The sequence below is a fragment of the Homo sapiens genome, chromosome 16, assembly GCF_000001405.40.
Source record: "Homo sapiens chromosome 16, GRCh38.p14 Primary Assembly".
Taxonomy (NCBI): Eukaryota; Metazoa; Chordata; class Mammalia; order Primates; family Hominidae; genus Homo; species Homo sapiens.
In genome coordinates, this window is record NC_000016.10 from 8,487,136 (window position 1) to 8,506,825 (window position 19,690).

General features: G+C 42.6%; 3 annotated features.

The window, feature by feature from the left end:
* Nucleotides 6,736–7,297: an enhancer, noted in NCBI's record as "OCT4-NANOG hESC enhancer chr16:8543873-8544434 (GRCh37/hg19 assembly coordinates)". NCBI's record gives its function as "activates a minimal SCP1, AML or CMV promoter by ChIP-STARR-seq in naive H9 embryonic stem cells {active_cell/tissue: H9 hESC(naive)}" and the evidence as "EXISTENCE:reporter gene assay evidence [ECO:0000049][PMID:30033119]".
* Nucleotides 18,178–18,697: an enhancer, noted in NCBI's record as "OCT4-NANOG hESC enhancer chr16:8555315-8555834 (GRCh37/hg19 assembly coordinates)". NCBI's record gives its function as "activates a minimal SCP1, AML or CMV promoter by ChIP-STARR-seq in naive and primed H9 embryonic stem cells {active_cell/tissue: H9 hESC(naive and primed)}" and the evidence as "EXISTENCE:reporter gene assay evidence [ECO:0000049][PMID:30033119]".
* Nucleotides 18,698–19,216: an enhancer, noted in NCBI's record as "OCT4-NANOG hESC enhancer chr16:8555835-8556353 (GRCh37/hg19 assembly coordinates)". NCBI's record gives its function as "activates a minimal SCP1, AML or CMV promoter by ChIP-STARR-seq in naive and primed H9 embryonic stem cells {active_cell/tissue: H9 hESC(naive and primed)}" and the evidence as "EXISTENCE:reporter gene assay evidence [ECO:0000049][PMID:30033119]".

Genomic DNA, 19,690 nt, shown 5'->3' on the forward strand with positions numbered 1-19,690 from the left:
AAGGGAGGGGTTGGCTTGGATGCTTAGAAAGATGATGTCACCAACTATAAGAAAAAAAAAAAGTAAAAACTGTTTTGGAAGAAGGTGATGGTGTTGACAAATACACAGACATTCTCTGGAGATGAGGAGTACACAGTTGGCTATGTTATTCCTAAGTCTTTAGGAAGGCATCTAGGCTGAAGAAATGATCTAAACGTTATAAAGAGTGTAAATTATAAATGGAATGAATGTGGAGTACATGAGGCTGCTAGAGTGCTGAGTAACACTGATAATAACACATGTAGAAGCTGTAGGAGAAACATATTCAAGGAAGAGCCAGAAAGGAACTGGCCAGAGAGGCATGCAAATATCCAGGGGAGTCTGGTGTAATGCAAGCCAGGAGTCATGGTATTTCAAGAAAGAGCCAAAATCCACAGGAGCAGACATATCAGCAAGGCCCAGCATGGTAGACTGGACCTAACCAAGCAGGTGAACTGAGTATCACAGAGAGCTTCACTGGAGTATTGGGAGGAGAAGCCTAATCATAATAAACTGGGGGCAATGGAAGTGAGAAATGGGAGAAAATAACAGTAGACAACTCTTTCCGAAAATACGAGATGAGAAATGGGAAGGAGAATGGGTGAAAGATTCAGAGGGGGAGCCAATAGAAGGATATTTAGAGGCGAGAGAGACTTGAGCATATTGATACCTTGACAAGGCAGACACAAAAGGAAGGGGGAAATGGAAACTCTGGGAGAAAATCATGTGTCCTGTGGAAGAGAAGAGATATCTCATTTACTCAGCCTGAAGGAAATGAGATGATGATGGGCCAGCTGTAAATACATCTGCTGGAAGCTGGGAAAGGAAGAGTCTCATGACCTCCATTTTTTTCTAATGAATTTACGGGCAGAATAGGCTAAGTTTTGCTGCAGGAGAAAAAAAATGCCCCCAGTATCTCAGAGGCTTAACACACTGTGTGGTAACTTGGGTCCACAGGGTGTCCTCCTCATTGCAGTCACTCAAGGACCTGGACTGCTGGCGATGCACTCCACCATAGTTAATTGCCACTGCAGTGGGAAGGGAATTCAGTAAATTGCATATCTGTCTTTAAAGCTCCTGCCCATATTTCATTGGCCAAAGCAAGCCACGTGGCCAAGCCTAACCTCAAGATTAACATTTGACCAGAAGGTACAGAGCCAGAAATATTTCATAAATGGCATAGATGGTTATTGCAAGGAAGTGAGAGATATGGTGTCTACAGTCAGGGAAATTGAGTGGAAGTGTGGAAGAGTCTTTAAGGGAATTGAAAAATGGAGTTGATTTCAAACAAATGAAAGGACTGATGGGTGGCCTTGATAAGCTGAGTTTGGCATCCACAATTTATAGTGCTGCTAGTTTCACTAGTTGCAGGACTTTTAGCAAAACCCATCTCCTCTCTGAGGCTCTGTCTTCTGATCTGTAAAACAGAGGAGTTGGATCAGATGGCTTGTAAGTTTCACTACCAAATTCCAAGATTCACCATTTGGACAGTGAATCTGATGATACTGAAACACCATGCCGTTTAACACCCCTATGCCGACCACAGGTCTTACAAGGGAATAGAATGTCCGAGATGCCTGCTGTGATATACACACTCTACATCAGCATTGACGCCATGGGGCCCTGATGCATTTGATGAGTAAAGCAGAGCCCATTCTTTCCCATCTTAACAGATGCTACATGGATCCAGAGGTCAATGGATTTGATTTTCTTTTTCTTTTTCCTATTCACCACCACCACTCCCGTTCTCTGCCTCCAATTCACTGCTGGTGAACACTGTCACACCATTGGGGTGGGTGGAGGAGGAAGGGAGGGGGGAGGCAGAGGGAGGAAGGAGGGAAGGAAGAAGGGGGGAAAGGCATTAATAGAACAGAAGCAGGCAATGATGAATTAAGGGAGCAGCCATTAATTTTTCATTTTGACAGATTATCGTCCGTCAGAAGGCAGAAGAGATGGCTCTTGTGCCCAGAGAGGAGACACTTGCTCTTTGTAATACAGGCTTCTCTTTTTTTTCTGGAATTAGGTGGTGGGCACCCAAAGAATAAAAAATTTATAGTAATCTATAATTTACATGTTAGATAAATAATGAACTAAATCCTGTCGTTAAATTGGTCCTTCATTTTTCTTAACTCCCTGGGTGATAAACCTGATTCTGCAACAGCATTTAGTATAAATTAAATTTTTGTAAGGCTGGAGGAAGGTAAACTGTTTTAAACACTTCGGATATAGATTGTCCTGGACATTGCATTGCCTGGGGTCTTAAGATACAATAGTCCTACCAATGTGGCTTTACATGAAGACTAGCATTAATTAAGGGAGGATGTTCACGGGGTATTTTGCAAACCAGCACTGATTCTGTAAGGCTTTGGAGTTTCATGAGTGGAAAGGTGAAGTCCCAGCACACAGTTGGGGCTAGCTTGCACAGCAGGACAGCTGGAGAGGATGACTTTCTTGGGCACCATGAAGATGTCTTCCCTAGATGCTGACTAATGTAATGACATGATGGAAAAAGGCACTGCCTTTTAACCCCTCCATTTCCCCAACTGTAAAGTGAGGGCAATCATTGTTTAAAGGCATCAATTAGAGGATATATGTAAAACAAATATTGGCACAGTTGGCAGTCATCAGGGGATAGCTGACATCAATAAAGCACTGGCGTGCAATGGATTACATGTTAGTAGTTAACGATTATTCAGAGCCCAGTGTGTTCCTGACCCTGTTTCAAGAACTTCAAATGCTTTAACCCTTATATTCCTTGAACCTACCCTATGAAGTGGGTGTTACCATTTTCCCCATTTTGCTTTTGAGGAAACTGAATTATTATCGACATGCCTACCTTGGGCCAGGCTTATATTGATATATTCCAGGAGTAAGGGATATAGTGGTGGATAAAATAGAAAAAAAATTCCCTACATTCACAGAGCTGACATTCTTGTGAAGGGGATGAATGCAATAACAAAATAAATAAATACAATATGCAACCTGGAAGAAAGCGATAAGTATTTTGGGAGAAAAATAAAGCAGAGGTGGGGTGCGGTGGCTCCCGTTTATAATCCCAGAACTTTGGGAGCCAGAGGTGGGCGGATCGCTTGGGCCCAGGAGATTGAGACCAGCCAGGCCAACATGGCGAAACCCCATCTCTACTAAAAATACAAAATAATTAGCTGAACATGGTGGCACATGCCTGTAATCCCAGCTACTCTGGAGGCTGAGGCACCAGAGAACCCGCCTGAACCCAAGAGGCGGAGATTGCAGTGAACTAACACTGTGCTGCACTCCAGCCTGGGCGAGAGTCAGAGTCTGTCTCAAAATAAATAAATAAATAAAAATTTAAAAATAAAGCAGAGAAGGCCCATAGAGAATAGAAGAGGGGTGCTACAATTTTAAGGGGTTGTCATTTTTAATAGATAAGCATAGCGTGCCTGTTCCCAGAACTGGAATTCTGAATCATTCCGCTACCTTGTTTAAGGGAAAGACTATGGGTTCCCGAATCAGATAGGTCTATGCTTTGCATCTGATCTCTGCCTTGTATTCGCCTTGAAACCTGGGGCAATTTGCTTACTCTCTCCAAGCCTCAGATTTCCTGACTGCGAAATGAAAATATCGCTTCAGCAGGGTTGTCATAAAGATGGAGAACGATGGAGATGAAGGTGAGGCCACGTGGTCTTTTAATACATTCCTTTCCTTATCTGTACCTTGGAGGGAATAGTGACACCTACCACTTAGGTGTGCTGTGAAGAATAAATGAGATAAACTATATTACCACAAATAAAAAAGAATTTATAGGTGGCCCCAAGGGCCTACCTGAGTTTGGCATCCATTAATTTTTGTGGCCAAATATCAAGAGTTGTATGACCTTAAGCAAGATCATTTTCTCATCTGTCAAATAGCAGCAGTGGACCAGATGGCCATGATGTAAGTAAACATAACACTCTGGTATAAGCAAAGCATCAAACCTACCTGGCACAAGGTAATAAGTAATAGTAACAGCCAGTTACAAAGCCCTTTTGTATGCCCTCGGAGCTGCGCTAACACTTTGCGTGCACTGCCTTCCCTAGAGCTCAACATAACCTTAAGAGAGAGATAATGCTACTATCCCCACTTTACAGACATGCAAACGGGGTCAACGAGCTTAAGAAATTTTCCCCAAGCTCACCCAGTAACCAAGTGGCAAAATTGGATCTGGGGACTTAGTCTTCTATCCCAGGATGATTTTCTTGTCTGAGCGGACTAGCATCATGAAGACAGATCTCAGGACATAATAGGCACTTTTAGGCAACATCTTTTATTTTCAATGTGCCTCATCTCTTTCTTCCACAGCTCCTCACTCTGAGACACACTCGCTTGCAAGAGTCAGGAGCACAACAGAGGTCGGGAGACTGGAACAATCTCCCAGGTAACCCAAGAATAAAAGCTCGTCAGTCTCCACAGGGCATCCTGGGATTCTGTTCAGCTCACCTGCCAGAAGAAAGAGGTGCCTACACCAAGGTGGGGGTGGGTGGCAAACTTCCCTTCCCTTTTTATTCTCATCCAGTTCTGTGGCTTCCTATGGCTTCCAAGTACTATAACTCCCAAATGTGTACACCCAGCCACACTCTCCCTTGAGTTACAGACTCACCCAGCCAATTGCTACTTGATACTGCAACTTGCACGTATTTTAGGTATCTCAAGTTCAACATGTCCAAAATTAAACTCCTAGTTTCCTCAATTTAAAAAAAAAAAAATCTGTTCATAAATAAACCTTCTCTAAATTCCAAAGAGGAAATTTGGAGTTGGATTATTTTGTAAGTCGTGTCTTTCTGGCAATCTGCCATTACCCCTCCTGACTACCCAGGAGGAAAACATCACTACCCAAAAGTCGGGAGAATCACTAAGGGTTTCTAGGAGACTCCCAGGAAATCTGGGAGATGGGAGTGCTTTCCTCCCCACCTATCCATGGTGACATTTTTGCTTCCAGGACAGGGAAGGATAAAAGAACTCACTATGTGATCCACCTTCAAGTCTCATTCTTCAAAGGTAATCAGCCCTGAGCACTCTCTGGAGTAAAAAGGACCAATTTTTGTTGCAACGATGAGAGGTTTTACCTAAAGGGCCAATTAAACCATGAGCAATCATTTGCAGATAGATTTTGGAGGAGGGATTTCTGTTGTGTTTGTTTCTTTGCAAAGACCTCAATAATCACTAGAATTTAGTTCCATGAAAAGTAAAATAAGTATCAAAGAGCTTTTCTGGAAATTACCATTCTGAGGGTAAGATTCGAAGATTTCTCTCTATGGCTTCAGGACCACTAGAAATTCTGCCCCACTCCAGAAGCCTTCTCCCCTCCGAGAGACTATGTAAATCTCTGAAAAAGACTCTAATTGGTCTTCTGGGGTTAACATTCACCCCTTGGACCCATCATTGTTGCTAAAGGACGGGGCTGTCTGATTGGCCAGTTATTTGCACACGATCGTAGTGACTGTTAGTGGAGGAAGAAAGATAGGAAAGATCTCTGGATGGAATTTTTTTATTATTATTATACTTTAAGTTTTAGGGTACATGTGCACAATGTTAGGTATATCTCCTAATGCTATCCCTCCCCCCTCCCCCCACCCCACAACAGTCCCCAGAGTGTGATGTTCCCCTTCCTGTGTCCATGTGTTCTCATTGTTCAATTCCCACAGCTACTGGTTTCCACCCCTCTATTACTGGATTCCTTTGATGAACACCATAATGATGATGATGATGACAATTTAATGTTCATATCTCAAACATATGTCAACACTTTTCATGCATGATCTCATTTAGATATGACAACAATCTTATGATGTAGGGACCATTGACAGATGACAAAACCAAGGCTTAGAGAAAGTAAAATACTTACCCAAAGTCATTCTGCTAGGAAGGAAAATTATTTGAAAACTACTGCCTTAATAGATGCACTGGTTATCAATTGCTATATGGCAAATTACCCCAAAATTTAGCAGCTTCAGACAACAAACATTTGTTATCTCATAATTTCTGTGGGTCAGGAATCCAGGCATGGCTGAGCTGGGTGCCTCTGCCTCTAGGTCCCTCAGAGTCTATATAATCAAGCAGTCCAAGAGGACTGCAGTATGATCTGAAGGCTTGACTGCACGAAAATCCGTTTCTAGGCTCACTCATGGGGTAGTTGGCAGAACTCAGCTCCATATAAGCTATTGGACCACGGGCCTCAGTTTCTCACTGGCCATTCATCACAGGCCTTCCTTACTTCCTTGTCATGGGGGCTTCTCCATTTAGCAGCTTACAACTTGGCACTGGGCTTAATCACAGCAGCAGGCTAGAGAGTATGCAAGATGGAATTTACCGTCTTTTTGGAACCTTCTCTCCAAGGTGATATCCTATCACTTTTGCCTGATCCTATTGGCTAGAAGTAACTCACTAGGTTGAGTCACATTTAAGGGAAGATGACTGCACAAGGAAGTGGGAACTTTTAGCGCTATCATAGAGGCTGCCTACTGCAGCACTTTTCTTTTTGGATAAACAGACTGCATTCATATACAAACCATTTAGTATTGCGGAGGGGCCTTCTCCTTCAACTCTCCAAATTCATTCACTGGATTTGTTTTGCCCAAATCCTCACGGGATCACCTGATATGTTCATTTCTGAGAGTAACCACACTCCTCCTTGGCTGCATTTTTTTTTCCTCTTCACGTCTGCACCACTCCTGAAACATTTGAACCTGAGAAGCATCGTATACTGTGATGAGCTTGGGAGCAGCTAATCTCATCCCCTCATTTTGCAGATAAGAGCACTGAGGCACAGCTAAGGAAAGGAACCCTCCTGAAACCCCACAGGAAGCCAGAGGCAGGGCTGGGACTCTGAATCTCATCTGCTCCCAGTATGCAGCACATCCTAACACACCGGGATCCTTGCTGGGAAATCAATCCAAACCAGGCACTTGAGCTCTAGGGAGACTGCCAACATTTCATCAACATACAAATGAGGGAAACATTTAGGCAGTGCTTCTCCCCTCATCCCCATCCCTTTCTTCACAGGGAGCTGACTTCATTCCCTCCTGGGAGCAGATGGACTCACTTGTTAACTGAGCAGTGAACAAGCCTTTTTGTATGAAAATCTAAGGAGCTCTTGCAGTGTGTCTGATGTGGTTTCAAGGTACACAATGCCCTCTAGTCTTGAGTCAGGGTAATTCCAAGAGGAAAGATTCTGAAAACAATGGGAAATTATAAAATACACAAAATCCAACACTGGATGTAATTATTCACAATAAAGCTGCCCAACTTGGCACTCCAAGGGTTCCAGGGACTCCCAAAATTCCATGTAAATCAGTCTATAATGTAAAACATTTTATGGAAAGGGTCTGTGGCTTTCATTGAATTTTTTATTTTTTTTTGAGACAGTCTCTCTCCGTAGCCCAGGCTGGAGTGCAGTGGCACAATCTTGGCTCACTGCAACCTCTGCCTCCCAGGTTCAAGCCATTCTTATGCCTCAGCCCCCGAGTTGCTGAGATTACAGGCGTGTGACACCATACCCAGCTAATTTTTGTATTTTTAGTAGAGACGGGTTTTCATCATGTTAGCCAGGCTGCTCTCAAACTCTGGGCCTCAAGTGATCCTCCTGCCTCGTCCTCCCAAACTTCTGAGACTACAAACATGGACCACCAGGACCCACCAGCTTTCACTGAATTTTAAAAGAGCAACCATAGCTATGTCACTAAACAAAAAGGTTGAGACCCCTAATTTGGACTCTCAAACTGTTTGGAACATCTTCACTGGTGTAAAAGAAATGTCCAAAATGAGCATCGGAGCATGTGCTTTTTAGATACAGAAGTACTTTGGGAGTTTAATATCATACATCTTCTCTGTTTGGCCCAACTTTCAAAGTTTTTCATTCCTTCCTATAGACTGTCATTTGGAAGCCGATATGTGTATTTCAGGATTCAATTTAATTCAATAGGTGTTTGCTAAATGCCTGTTCCATTCTAAGTGCTGCGGGTTCAAAAATGAACCACAGTGGGCACTAGTTAATTTTTGCCATTCAATGTTCATCTCCCATTCTTTGGCAACACCATCCCAGTTTCCTCCTAAAACCACTCACTTTTCTATTCCTATTCCTGAGCCAAGGCCTCTGATCAGGCCGAGTCCCCTCAGCACCAGAGATGGAGACGTGACCAGCCATTCAGTGCATCCCATCTTCCCACCCACAGAGATGGCTTCAGGGAAGGGTCAGTCAGAGCTATTAATAAGTCTTGGAGCTGAGCTAGATGAACCCAGAAAGAGGGTCCTGCATTTACCTGCCACTGGAGTTAAATCTGAAAAGACAGAGAATAAATCTGCAGCAAAGACTGAGAAATGGAGCCAAAAGATGCACAGACAGAATTGAGCCCTAGATGAAGCATACCTCAAAGTAGCCCAGACATTAGACATTTTTTTCCCCTAACAAAAGTGAGTCTCACTGTCGCCCAGGCTGGAGTGCAGCGGTGTGATCCCGGCTCACTGCAACCTCCACCTCCTGGGTTCAAGCAATTCTCCTGCCTCAGCCTCCTGAGTAGCTGGGATTACAGGCGCGCACCACCATGCCCAGCTAATTTTTGTATTTTTAGTAAAGATGATGTTTCACCATGTTGGCCAGTCTGGTCTCGAACTCCTGACCTCAAGTGATCTACCTGCCTCGACCTCCCAAAATGCTGGGATTACAGGCGTGAGCCAGCACACCCCACCAGCTTTATATCACTTTCAACAGAAAGAATTTTAGTGGTTACTCTGCCCTTGAGGAACACAGAGTCCAATAAGGTAATCTGTTTATAATTCATAATAGTACACAACAAATGCCATAAGTAAATGCACACACTCATATAAATATGTATATTAAAATATGTGGCCGGGCACAGTAGCTCACGCCTGTAATCCCAGCACTTTGGGAGGCTGAGGCAGGCGGATCACTTGAGGTCAGGAGTTTGAGACCAGCCTGGCCAACATGGCAAAACCCCATCTCCACTAAAAATACAAAAATCAGCTGGGTGTGGTGGCACGCGCCTGTAATTCCAGCTACTCCGGAGGTTGAAGCAGGAGAATCGCTTGAACCCGGCAGGTGGAGGTTGCAGTGAGCCGAGATCTCGCCATTGCACTACAGCCTGGGCAACAACAGCAAAACTCCATCTTAAAAAAAAAAAAGTATGTATTTATACATATATAAACATATAATTTATATATTTATAGTTATAAATTATATAATACATACAATTTATCTATAAATATATATTTGACATAAACATATATATACAAAGTTCAGAAGAAAATGAAGGGAATATAAAACACCACCTGTAGGGAATTTTATTGTGCCTTGATGGAATAAAAGTATTTGCACAGGAAACAATTAATCCAGAGGAAGGACATTTATAAGGAAAGAATAGTGGAGCCAGGACAGTGCTGGGTGTGTCTCCGCCTCTGAACAGGCTCTCACAGACGAGTCAAGAAGTCTCTTAGAAATTACGACTTTCCATATGTAACTGTCTCAGACCTCAGCTACATGGACCACAAAATAAGATCACATTTTCTTTTTTCATTATTTTTTCTTAAGATATCAATCATGTGCCATACAATTTGCCCTTTCAAAATGTACAATTCAATGGTTTTTTATGATGTTGTTGCTGTTGTTGCTGCTTTTTAAGACAGGGTCTCACTGTGTCATCCAGGCTGGAGTGCAGTGGTGCGATCTTGGTTCACTGCAACTTCTGCCTCCCGGGTTCAAGCGATCCTCCTGCCTCAGCCTCCCAAGTAGCTGGGACTGCAGGCGTGTATCACCACGCCAGGCTAATTTTTGCATTTTTTGTAGAGACAGGGTATTGTTATGTTTCCCAGGCTGGTCTCAAACTCCTAAGCTCAAGCAATCTGCCCACCTCGACCTCCCAAAGTGCTGGGATTACAGGCATGAGCCACTGAGCCCAGCAATTCAATCGTTTTCAGTATAGTCACAAAGTGAGGCAGGCATCATCACTATCCAATTCCAGAACATTTTCATTATCCTAATAAGAAGCCTGGTACCCATCATCATCACTCTCCCATTGCCCCTTTTTTCAACACTAACCTGCTTTCCTTTTTTTTGAAACGGAGTCTTACTCTGTCACCCAGGCTGGAGTGTAGTGTCACTATCACCATTCACCACAGCCTCAACCTCCTGGGCTCAGGTGATTCTCTCAAGAGTAGCCGGGACTACAGGTGCGTGCCACCATGCCCAGCTAATTTTTGCATTTTTTTTTGGTAGATACAGGGTCTCTCTATGTTGCCAGGGCTGGTCTAGAAATCCTGGGTTCAAGCAATTTTCCTGCCTTGGCCTCCCAAAGTGCTGGGATTACAGGCGTGAGCCATGGTGCCAAGCCCTAATCTGCCTTCTATTTCTATGGATTTAATTCTTCTGGACATTTCTTATAAATGCAATCATATAACATATGTCTTTTTGTGTCTGGCTTCCTTCACTTAGCACATCGTATTCAAAGTTCCTCCATGCTGTGGTGTGTATCAAAACTTCATTCCTTTTTAATGGCTGAATAATATTCCTTCATGTGTACAGACCACATTGTATTTATCTATTCATCAGTTAATGGACATGGAGATTGTTTCTACCTTTTGGCTATTATGAATAATGCTGCTACGAACACTGGTGTGCAGATTTTTCTGTGGACATACTTTCAATTCTCTTAGATATATACCTAGGGGTAGAATTGCAGGGTGATATGGTAACTCTATATTTAACTTTTTGAGCAAAAGTCAGACTGTGTTCCAAAGCAGATGCACTGTTTTACATTTGTACCAGCAGTGTGGGAGGGTTCCAATTTGTCCACATCCTCCCCAACCCTTATTATTGTCTGTCTTTTTTATTACGGCCATCCTAATGGGGGTGAAGTGGTATCTCATTGTTGCAGTGATTTGTATTTCCCTAATAACTAACATATTTCCTTCTAATGACCAAATCATGATACTTGTGTCCCTTCTAGCCTGATTACTAGACATTAGCCTTTTAAAAAGTGATCTCCAATGATTAATTTCTCCTAGTGCCTCCTGTCAGCCTGTTTGTTGCAATTACCAAGTCAAATAATCCCATTCCCGCTCTGCTTCTGCAGATCATGCTGGTGTACACCTGCTGCTCATAAACCCACAGAGGCAGACTTTACTGTGGCTACTACTCAATGGCCATGCAAAGAACTCCTTCTCCAGCAGCCCCCCTGGCTTGCAATCCTGCTGAGTTCAGGAGAAAAGGTACAGAATGATGTTGGATTCCATTAGGAGACAGAAAATTATGTTTTTTCCACCTCTGGGGCCAAAATCAGCCTGCACAGAGTCTGAAAATTCTTTAAAGAAATTTTCTCTAAGCTTCTGACCATCTCTCCTCTAATCAAAGGCATTCAAACCCAGCTTATAGAGCTAGGTAAGAAACGGAATGCACAGAACCAACCCATCCACCAATAGTCTCCTAAGCCCCTTCCACAAACTCCTTCCTCTTCCAGTTCAATGATTCTCAGAATTATCGACATTCGGGGCCAGATTAATTCTTTTTTGGGGAGGATGTCCTGTGTATGGCGGGATATTCAGCAGCACCCCGGTCTCTATTTAACCACCCTCACTCATGACAACCAAAAATGTCTCCAAATACTGTCAAATGTTCCCCCAAAAAGGGAGGTTGCAAAATTGTGCCTGATTGAGAACCACTGTATTAATTTGGGGTAGGCAGAACTCCAAGAGGGACCTCGAGATCCCAGCCCCCTGAGGCAGATATTCTGTGGGTGGTGGGACCTAGGAATATAATGGGCTATCACTTCCATGATTAGGTTGCACCTTCAAGCTAGAACCATCTGGTAGCTGAGCTACTCCATCTCAACTCCAACTCCACAACTGTGAGAGATTATAATAAAATTATTGTTGCTATTTTAAGCCACTCTATTGGAGTATTCTATTATACAGCAACTCCTTGAATAACATCATTTCATTCAATGTCATTTCATTATAACGTTGGTGAGAAAAAGAATCCTTTCTCAGCCAGGGGCATCGTCTGTATGGAGTCTGCACCTTCTCCCCATGTCTGTTATAGATTTTCTCTGGGAACGCCAGGTTACTCCAACATCCCAAAGATGTACACATTAGGCTCATTGGTGTGTCTGTGGGGTCCCAGTCTGAGTGGCTATAGGGGAGTATGTGAGTGCACCTGGCAATGATGGGATTGGTCCTGTCCAGGACTGCTTTCTGCCTTGAACTGTGAGCTTCCAGGAGGGGCTCCAGCCACTAGAGACCCTGAACAGGAATGAGAAGTTTAGAAAAATGAATGAATATAAATTATTGTAAAAAATTCATAAAGTATATGATAATCATACAAATGCATGACAATAAACGATGCAGTAAAATAGCACTCTGCAAGCCCGCCATTATTTGTAATTTTTTTTAAAATTGAGACAGAGTATCGCTCTTGTTTCCCAGGCTAGAGTGCAATGGCACGATCTCAGCTCACCTCAACCTCTGCTTCCCAGGTTCAAGCGATTCTCCTGCCTCAGCTTCCCGAGTAGCTGGGATTACAGGCATCTGCCACCATGCCTGGCTAATTTTCTATTTTTAGTAGAGGCAAGGTTTCTCCATGATGATCAGGCTGGTCTCGAACTCCCGACCTCAGGTGATCTGCCTGCCTCCGCCTCCCAAAGTGTTGGGATTACAGGCGTCAGCCACTGCACCTGGCTTGTGATTGTTTTTTAACTGTGTGGTGGCAAGAGGTGCTCCTTTCAATTTTTCACTTTGCAAACACTTATTCCTTGATTCCTTGATTTAACCCACCAACACTACAACAGCTATCACTCACAGATTAACCAAAAATTGAATAAATAGGCTCATGATGACTCATGCCTGTAATCCCAGCACTTTGGGAGGCCAAGGTGGGCAGATCACTTGAGGCCAGTAGTTCGAGACCAGCCTGGCCAACATGGTGAAACCCCATCTCTACTAAAAATACAAAAATTAGCCGGGTGTGGTGGTGCACGCCTGTAATCCCAGCTACTCGGGAGGAGTGAGCCAAGATCGCACCACTGCACTCCAGACTGGGTGACAGTGAGACTCCATCTCAAAAAACAACCAAAAAAAATGGATAAATAATTCTCTCACTTGTTTTTATCAATCTTTCTTAAATACATATATAGCTCACACTTATGTCAAGATTTTAGAAGCATTCTGGGTCTTTATTTAGGAGTTTGGTGATGTTTTTGTGACCAGAAATATGCTGCAGTAATTTAACTCTTTTTTCTATCAATTAGCCTATGGTAAAAATTGGTTTCTTCTTATGTCATTTCACTTGAGGTTGCTGTTTACAAGAACCTATCAATGACATTAAGTGAGGAGTTACCGTTTAGTAACAGATAACAGAAACAGACTTTGGTCTCTGGAAGTGGGAGGCTGCCATAACAAAACCTAAACTGCTTTGAGATGGCTTTGAGATGGGTGTGTGTACACATTACAAAGGCTTTGAGAAATCTGTTAGCAGAGGCTTGATGGCCCTGGAGGAGGCTGTTGGTGAGGGCTTAGTAAAGTCAGAAAAATGTCATGATCCTTGGTATGTAATTATGAAAGGTTTAGCACCACTGTCACCTGTGCTGAAGTGGAAAATAGAAAATATACAGAATTAACTGATTAATTTGGATGAAGAGATTAGAATTCCAGACAGACTGTTGATACTAGTTTCTTTTCTTTTAGCAGATAAGGATGGAGGACAGGCATGGGGACTAACACCTGTAATCTCAGAACTTTGGTAGTCCAAGGCAGGCAGATCATTTGAGGTCAGGAGTTCGAGACCAGCCTGGCCAACATGGTGAAACCCTGTCTCTACTAAAAATACAAAAAAGTTAGCCAGGCGTGGTGGCATGCACCTGTAATCCCAGCTATTTAGGAGTCTGAGGCAGGAGAATCACTCAAACCCAGGAGGTGGAGGTTGCAGTGAGCCGAGATCGTGCTGTTGCACTCCAACCTGGGCAACAGAGTGAGACCCTGTCTCAATCAGTCAATCAATCAATCAATAAAAGATAAGCATGGAGAAACATGACTTGAAAAATGAACTGTTTGATTTTCAACCAAATTTAAAGAAAGTGTGAAAGATCTTGGACTGATGGGTTTGAAAATAAAGTTGTTTCTCATTTCTAGCCTCTCCACATGAAAAAAAAATTTTTTTTCTTACATTAAGAAATGATCTTAGAACAAAAATCAAATCCAGAGTAGAACTATGACACCCTTTCTTCAGGCTTTAGAAAAATTTAAGGTGGTACCTCACAGACCCTTTCAGCAAACAAAAGGTCCTCTAAGGATCTTACAGGTATGCCTCTCAGACATTCCTCACTGAACTTCATTAAACTCATAACAATTAGGGCAACGTTTCACAGCAGCTTTCCAGGGAGCCCAAGGTAGAGAATCGCTTTTATCAACAAGATTTGTGGGTATTGATTTTAGCTAATTGAGTGAACCCAAATAAGATTCACTAAAAATCTTCAAAGTTGTTAAGAAAATTATGTTGGCAAAAACATCACCAGCTTCGTAGTTGAAGCTGGTGATGTTCTGCCAGCCTATTTTTCTGGACAGAGCTCACACAAAGCAAAAGGAAGTCTTTAGACATTCCCTCCAAAAAGTACTATGGATAGGAATCAGACTGGAAAAAAAAAAAAACTATTTGGCTGCAAACACGAGCTGTTTTATAGAGAAGGAAGGATAATTCAAAAGGTGAACCAGGATTCCATTGCATAGAGAATTATTCCCAGGAAATAGAGCTAAATAGTAATTAAAGAACTAGCAACACGTACTCAGCTGCATTTCAAAATGCCTATGCACCAATGAATGCTATGTGACTGCTATTTTCCCATGTTTTGAATGCGAGTGTCTATAACGATCTGTGCCTGTCTCACCGTGGTGTGTTAGTGAGACAGTCAGGAAGCTTCATTCACACCTGAACTTTGATAACAAGATACTGGACCTCAAGCCCAAGATTGATAGCATAAAATGATATGGCATCAAGGTGCTTTAGAGGAGGGGTTGAGTGTATTTTGCAAGTGGAAGGACTGTGAATGATCATGACCAGAAGGCAAACTAAGATTGTATTTCCATAATCCATCATCGGCAGCAATGCTTCTGGCGTCATGTGCTACTACAGAACTTTGTTAATCTCCCATCAAGAGATGGAGTCTATGCCCCCTTCCTTGAATTAAGGCCTTTGGGACCATCACAATAAATAGAATGTGACAGAGTGAGGCTGCATGACTTCTGAAGCTCGGTCGTGAAAGGAGATACAGCCCTGCACCCCTCCCTCCACCCACACTTCTTTGGAGCCCTGAGCTGCCCTATAAGAAGCCTTGCTGCCCTGGAGCCACCATGCTGAAGAGTCCACAGGGAGATACACAAGGAAAAAGAAAGTGATTCCCAAGAAGCCTGCATCAGTCAGGAATCTCCAGAGGGACAGAACTCATAGGATATATGTATATATGAAAGGGAATTTATTAGGGAGAAGTGACTCACACAATCATAAGGCAAAGTCCCATGATAGGCTATCTGCAAGATGGGGAAGAAAGAAGCCAGTAGTGCTCAATCCGAGTCAAAAAGCCTCAAAACCAGGGAAGCCGACCATGCAGCCTTCAGCCTGTGGCCAAAGATTGTTGTTTAAGTGGTTGTTTAGGAGTGTGTAGCACCTACCCTGCTCCCTTCCCCCTGCTCCAGACTTGTAAGATGTTCCTGCTTCCCCTTCACCATCCACTATGATTGTAAGTTTCCTGAGGCCTCCCCAGCTATGCTTCCTATACAGTCTGTATAATTAAACCTCTTTTCTTTATACATTACCCAGTATCAGGTATTTCTTTAGAGCAATGCAAGAACAGACTAATACAGCAAGGAACTACCTCTGGACAATCCGGGAAGACTTGGTAAAGGCGATGAAATTTGAGCCTGATCTTGGAGTATGTTTTGAAGGTGAAATAAGGGGAAAATACATTGAGGACAGAAATGATACCACATGATTAAAGCACACATAAAAGAGGAAGATTTTTTCTCTGGAATTTAGATATTTTAGGACACACGCATGCACACACACACACACACACGCGCGGGCTTCAAAAAGTTCATGTAAAAGTGGAATTAAAAGATAAAAATGGGCCGGGCACATTGGCTCATATCTGTAATCCCAGCACTTTGGGAGGCCAAGGGAAGAGGATTGCTTAAAGCCAGGAGTTCAAGACCAGCCTGGCCAACATGGTGAAACCCTGTCTCTACTAAAAATACAAAAATATAGCCAGTCATGGTGGCAGGCACCTGTAATCCCAGCTACTTGGGAGACTGAGGCAGGAGAATCATTTGAACCCAGGAGGCAGAGGTTGCAGTGAGCCGAGATCATGCCACTGCACTCCAGCCTGGGTGACAGAGTGAGACTCTGTTTCAAAAAAAACAAAAATAAAACAAAACAAAGAAGGATAAAAATGAAAATATAAACTTTATTTCTCAACAGAATTTCCATCAAGTTCAGGACACTTTTGTAAGCAATGATACCAGCCATTAGTCCATCCCTAAAGAACTGAGAGTCCTGGGAATTCAACCATCTCAATGTAGTCTTTTTTATACTATTAACTGGAAAAAAACGAGTGCCCTTTAAAGATATTTTAAGATTAGGAAATAAAAAGAAGTCCGAAGTAGCCAAATCAGGGCTATAAGGGAGATGTCTAAGGATTTCCCAACAAAACACTTGCAAAATTGCCTTTGTTTGATGAGAAGAATGAGCAGCAGCATTGTCATGATAGAGAAGAAATTTCTGGTGAAGGTTTCTCAGGTGATTTCCTGCTAAAGCTTTGGCTAACTTTCTCAAAACACTCTCATACTAAGCAGATATTATCATTCATTGACCCTCCAAAAAGTCAACAAGCAAAATGTCTTGAGCATCTCAAAAAAGTATTGCCTTGACCTTTGCTCTTGACCAGTCCACTTTTACTTTGACTGGACCACTTCCACCTCTTGGTAGCCATTGCTTTGATTGTGTTTTATCTTCAGGATCATACTGATAAAGTCATGTTTCAGGTCCTGTTACAGTTCTTTGAGAAATGCTTTAGGATCTTGATCCTATTTGTTTAAAATTTTCATTGAAACCTCTTATCTGCAACAAATCTGGACACAACAGTTTTGGCACCCATCAAGTAGAAAGTTTGCTCAATTTTTCTTTTTTTTTTTTGAGATGGAGTCTCACTCTGTGACTAGGATGGAATGCAGTGGTGCAACCCCTGCCTCCCTAGTTCAAGAGATTCTCCTGCCTCAGCCTCCCAAGTAGCTGGAACTACAGGCTTACACCACCATGCCCAGCTAATTTTTGTATTTTTAGTAGAGACAGGGTTTCACCATGTTGGTCAGGATGGTCTGGATCTCTTGACCTCGTGATCTGCCCAAGTTGGCTTCCCAAAATGCTGGGATTAGAGGTGTGAGCCAGTGCTCATGGCTCCCAATCTTAATTTTTAATTCTTTTTTTTTTTTTTTGAGATGGAGTCTCGCTCTGTTGCCCAGGCTGGAGTGCAGTGGCGCGATCTCAGCTCACTGCAAGCTGCGCCTCCCGGGTTCATGCCATTCTTCTGCCTCAGCCTCCCAAGTAGCTGGGACAATTTTAATTTTTGAGTCAGAATTGTGTATGCTGAACCAATTGAGATGCCTGTGGTGTTGGCTATTGTTTCTGTGGTTAATGATTGATTCTTTTCAATTAGGGCATGAACGAGATTAATTTTTTCCTCGCAGATTGATGTGGATGGTCTGCCACTGTGGGCTTCATCTTCAACATCATCTCATATCTTCTTACAACCAGTTATCCATTTGTAAACTGCTGATTTCCTGGGGGCATTGTCCCCATAAACTTTTCATGAAGCATCTCACCATTCTTCCACTCAAGTCTCAACATAAATTTGATGTTTGTTCTTGCTTCAATTATAGCAGAATTTATGTTTCTCAGGGAGGGGCTCTTTTCAAACGAATGTCTTGTCCTTCTGAGTGTCTAAAACTAGATTGACTTCAGACATACTGTAACAAGTTAAAACAAGTTTATTTTGGTGGAAAAAAGAAACAGAAATCCAAGCATAGTTTTTTCACTATGCATGGAAAATTCACATTTCCATGAACTTTCTGAAGACCCCTTATGTATATATAAAAGTTAATTGGCTGAAACACTGAGCATATCAGGACAAATGACAGGAAGCAAAGCTACAAAGGTCAGGTGGGTGCTAAGACCTATCCTACCATATAGTTATAGTCATCAGCGTCCTGGTCAGACATAAATCAAGGCAGAGACCATTCAACTGTCATAATCTTAGAAGATTTTATTGGCTGCCTATTACCTTCCCATAAGTGTGAATCACAGACCAAACATAATTGTGAGGTTATGCAACAACTTCCTCAATTCACTCCCCTCCAATCACAATGATAACCTTAAAGGGAAACACAACTTGCTTCTTTGAACTTCACCTTTGTCCTGAGAGAAGTGAAATTCCCAAACTGACCGTGGCTTAAAACAACTAAATGTGTATTTTTAACACTGGAAGCACGCATGCTTCGCCTTTTTCCATGGAAAGCTTAGTAAACAGAGGTGCTATAACCGGCTCCACTGCCTGAAGGCACATTTGTTTAATCAAGGTACTCTAATACAATTAGCAGAGAACAAAGGAGAGCCATTATGCAAACAACAAACAATTCAAAGCGATCCAGACTCGGATCTCCCTCCAAGAGTGGCAGTGGAGTGGCAGATCTAATGTCCTTATATCTGTTCTCTGTATGAGCTTTCATGAAATGCCATAGAAACCAAATATCAAAACACCCACAATTTTAAGAGACAAGATAGGTGATGGAAGCCACCAAGAAGCAAGGAGCTCTCTAGGGAAGTGGCAAGAAGGGAGAGAGCCATTCAGAAGCCATGCAAGCCTGTTAAGGAGCTAAGTAGTTGGAATGTCTGGATGACTCCCTAAATAAACACTGAAACACTTTAAATTTGTACATAAATAAAACTAAACCACAGTAGTCAACATAGGAAAGCCAACTATTGTGTTTTGTTTTTGCTGTTAAACACCTTGAAGACATCACTTCGTTCATGTATTCTACAAATATTGGTTAAGCATCGACTATATGCCAGGCACTCTTTTACGTATTGAGGATACAGAAGTGAATACCCCAGGCAAGACCTCTGTCCTTATGGAACTTATGTGATAGAAGGAGATGGTAAACCCATAAACAGATGGATCTGTTAATGATGACAACAATGAAGAAAATAAAATTGGGTAACTAGAGAAGGAAATTGACTAAAACAGGAGAAGGGGTCAAGTTTAGCCTGGTCAGGCAAGAGGTGACATTTAAACTGAAGAGGAGACATTTGACCTGACACCAGATGATAATAAGAAGCTAATCTTACAAAGATCTAGGGGATATGGATTCTATGCAGGAGTGACACCCTGAGGTTGGAAGCAGCCTCAAAGCTTTAAAGAACAGAAGGGAGGTCAATGCAGCTGGAAGATCATGGTGAAGAAGAGTCGGGAAATATGGTTGGAGAGCAGGGCACGGGCCAGATGATGAAGGGCCTGGCAGGCCAAGGTAAAGAGCTTGGATATTATTTAAATGCAATGGGGACTGAGTGCAGTTGCTCATGCCTCTAGTCCCAGCACTTTGGGCGGCC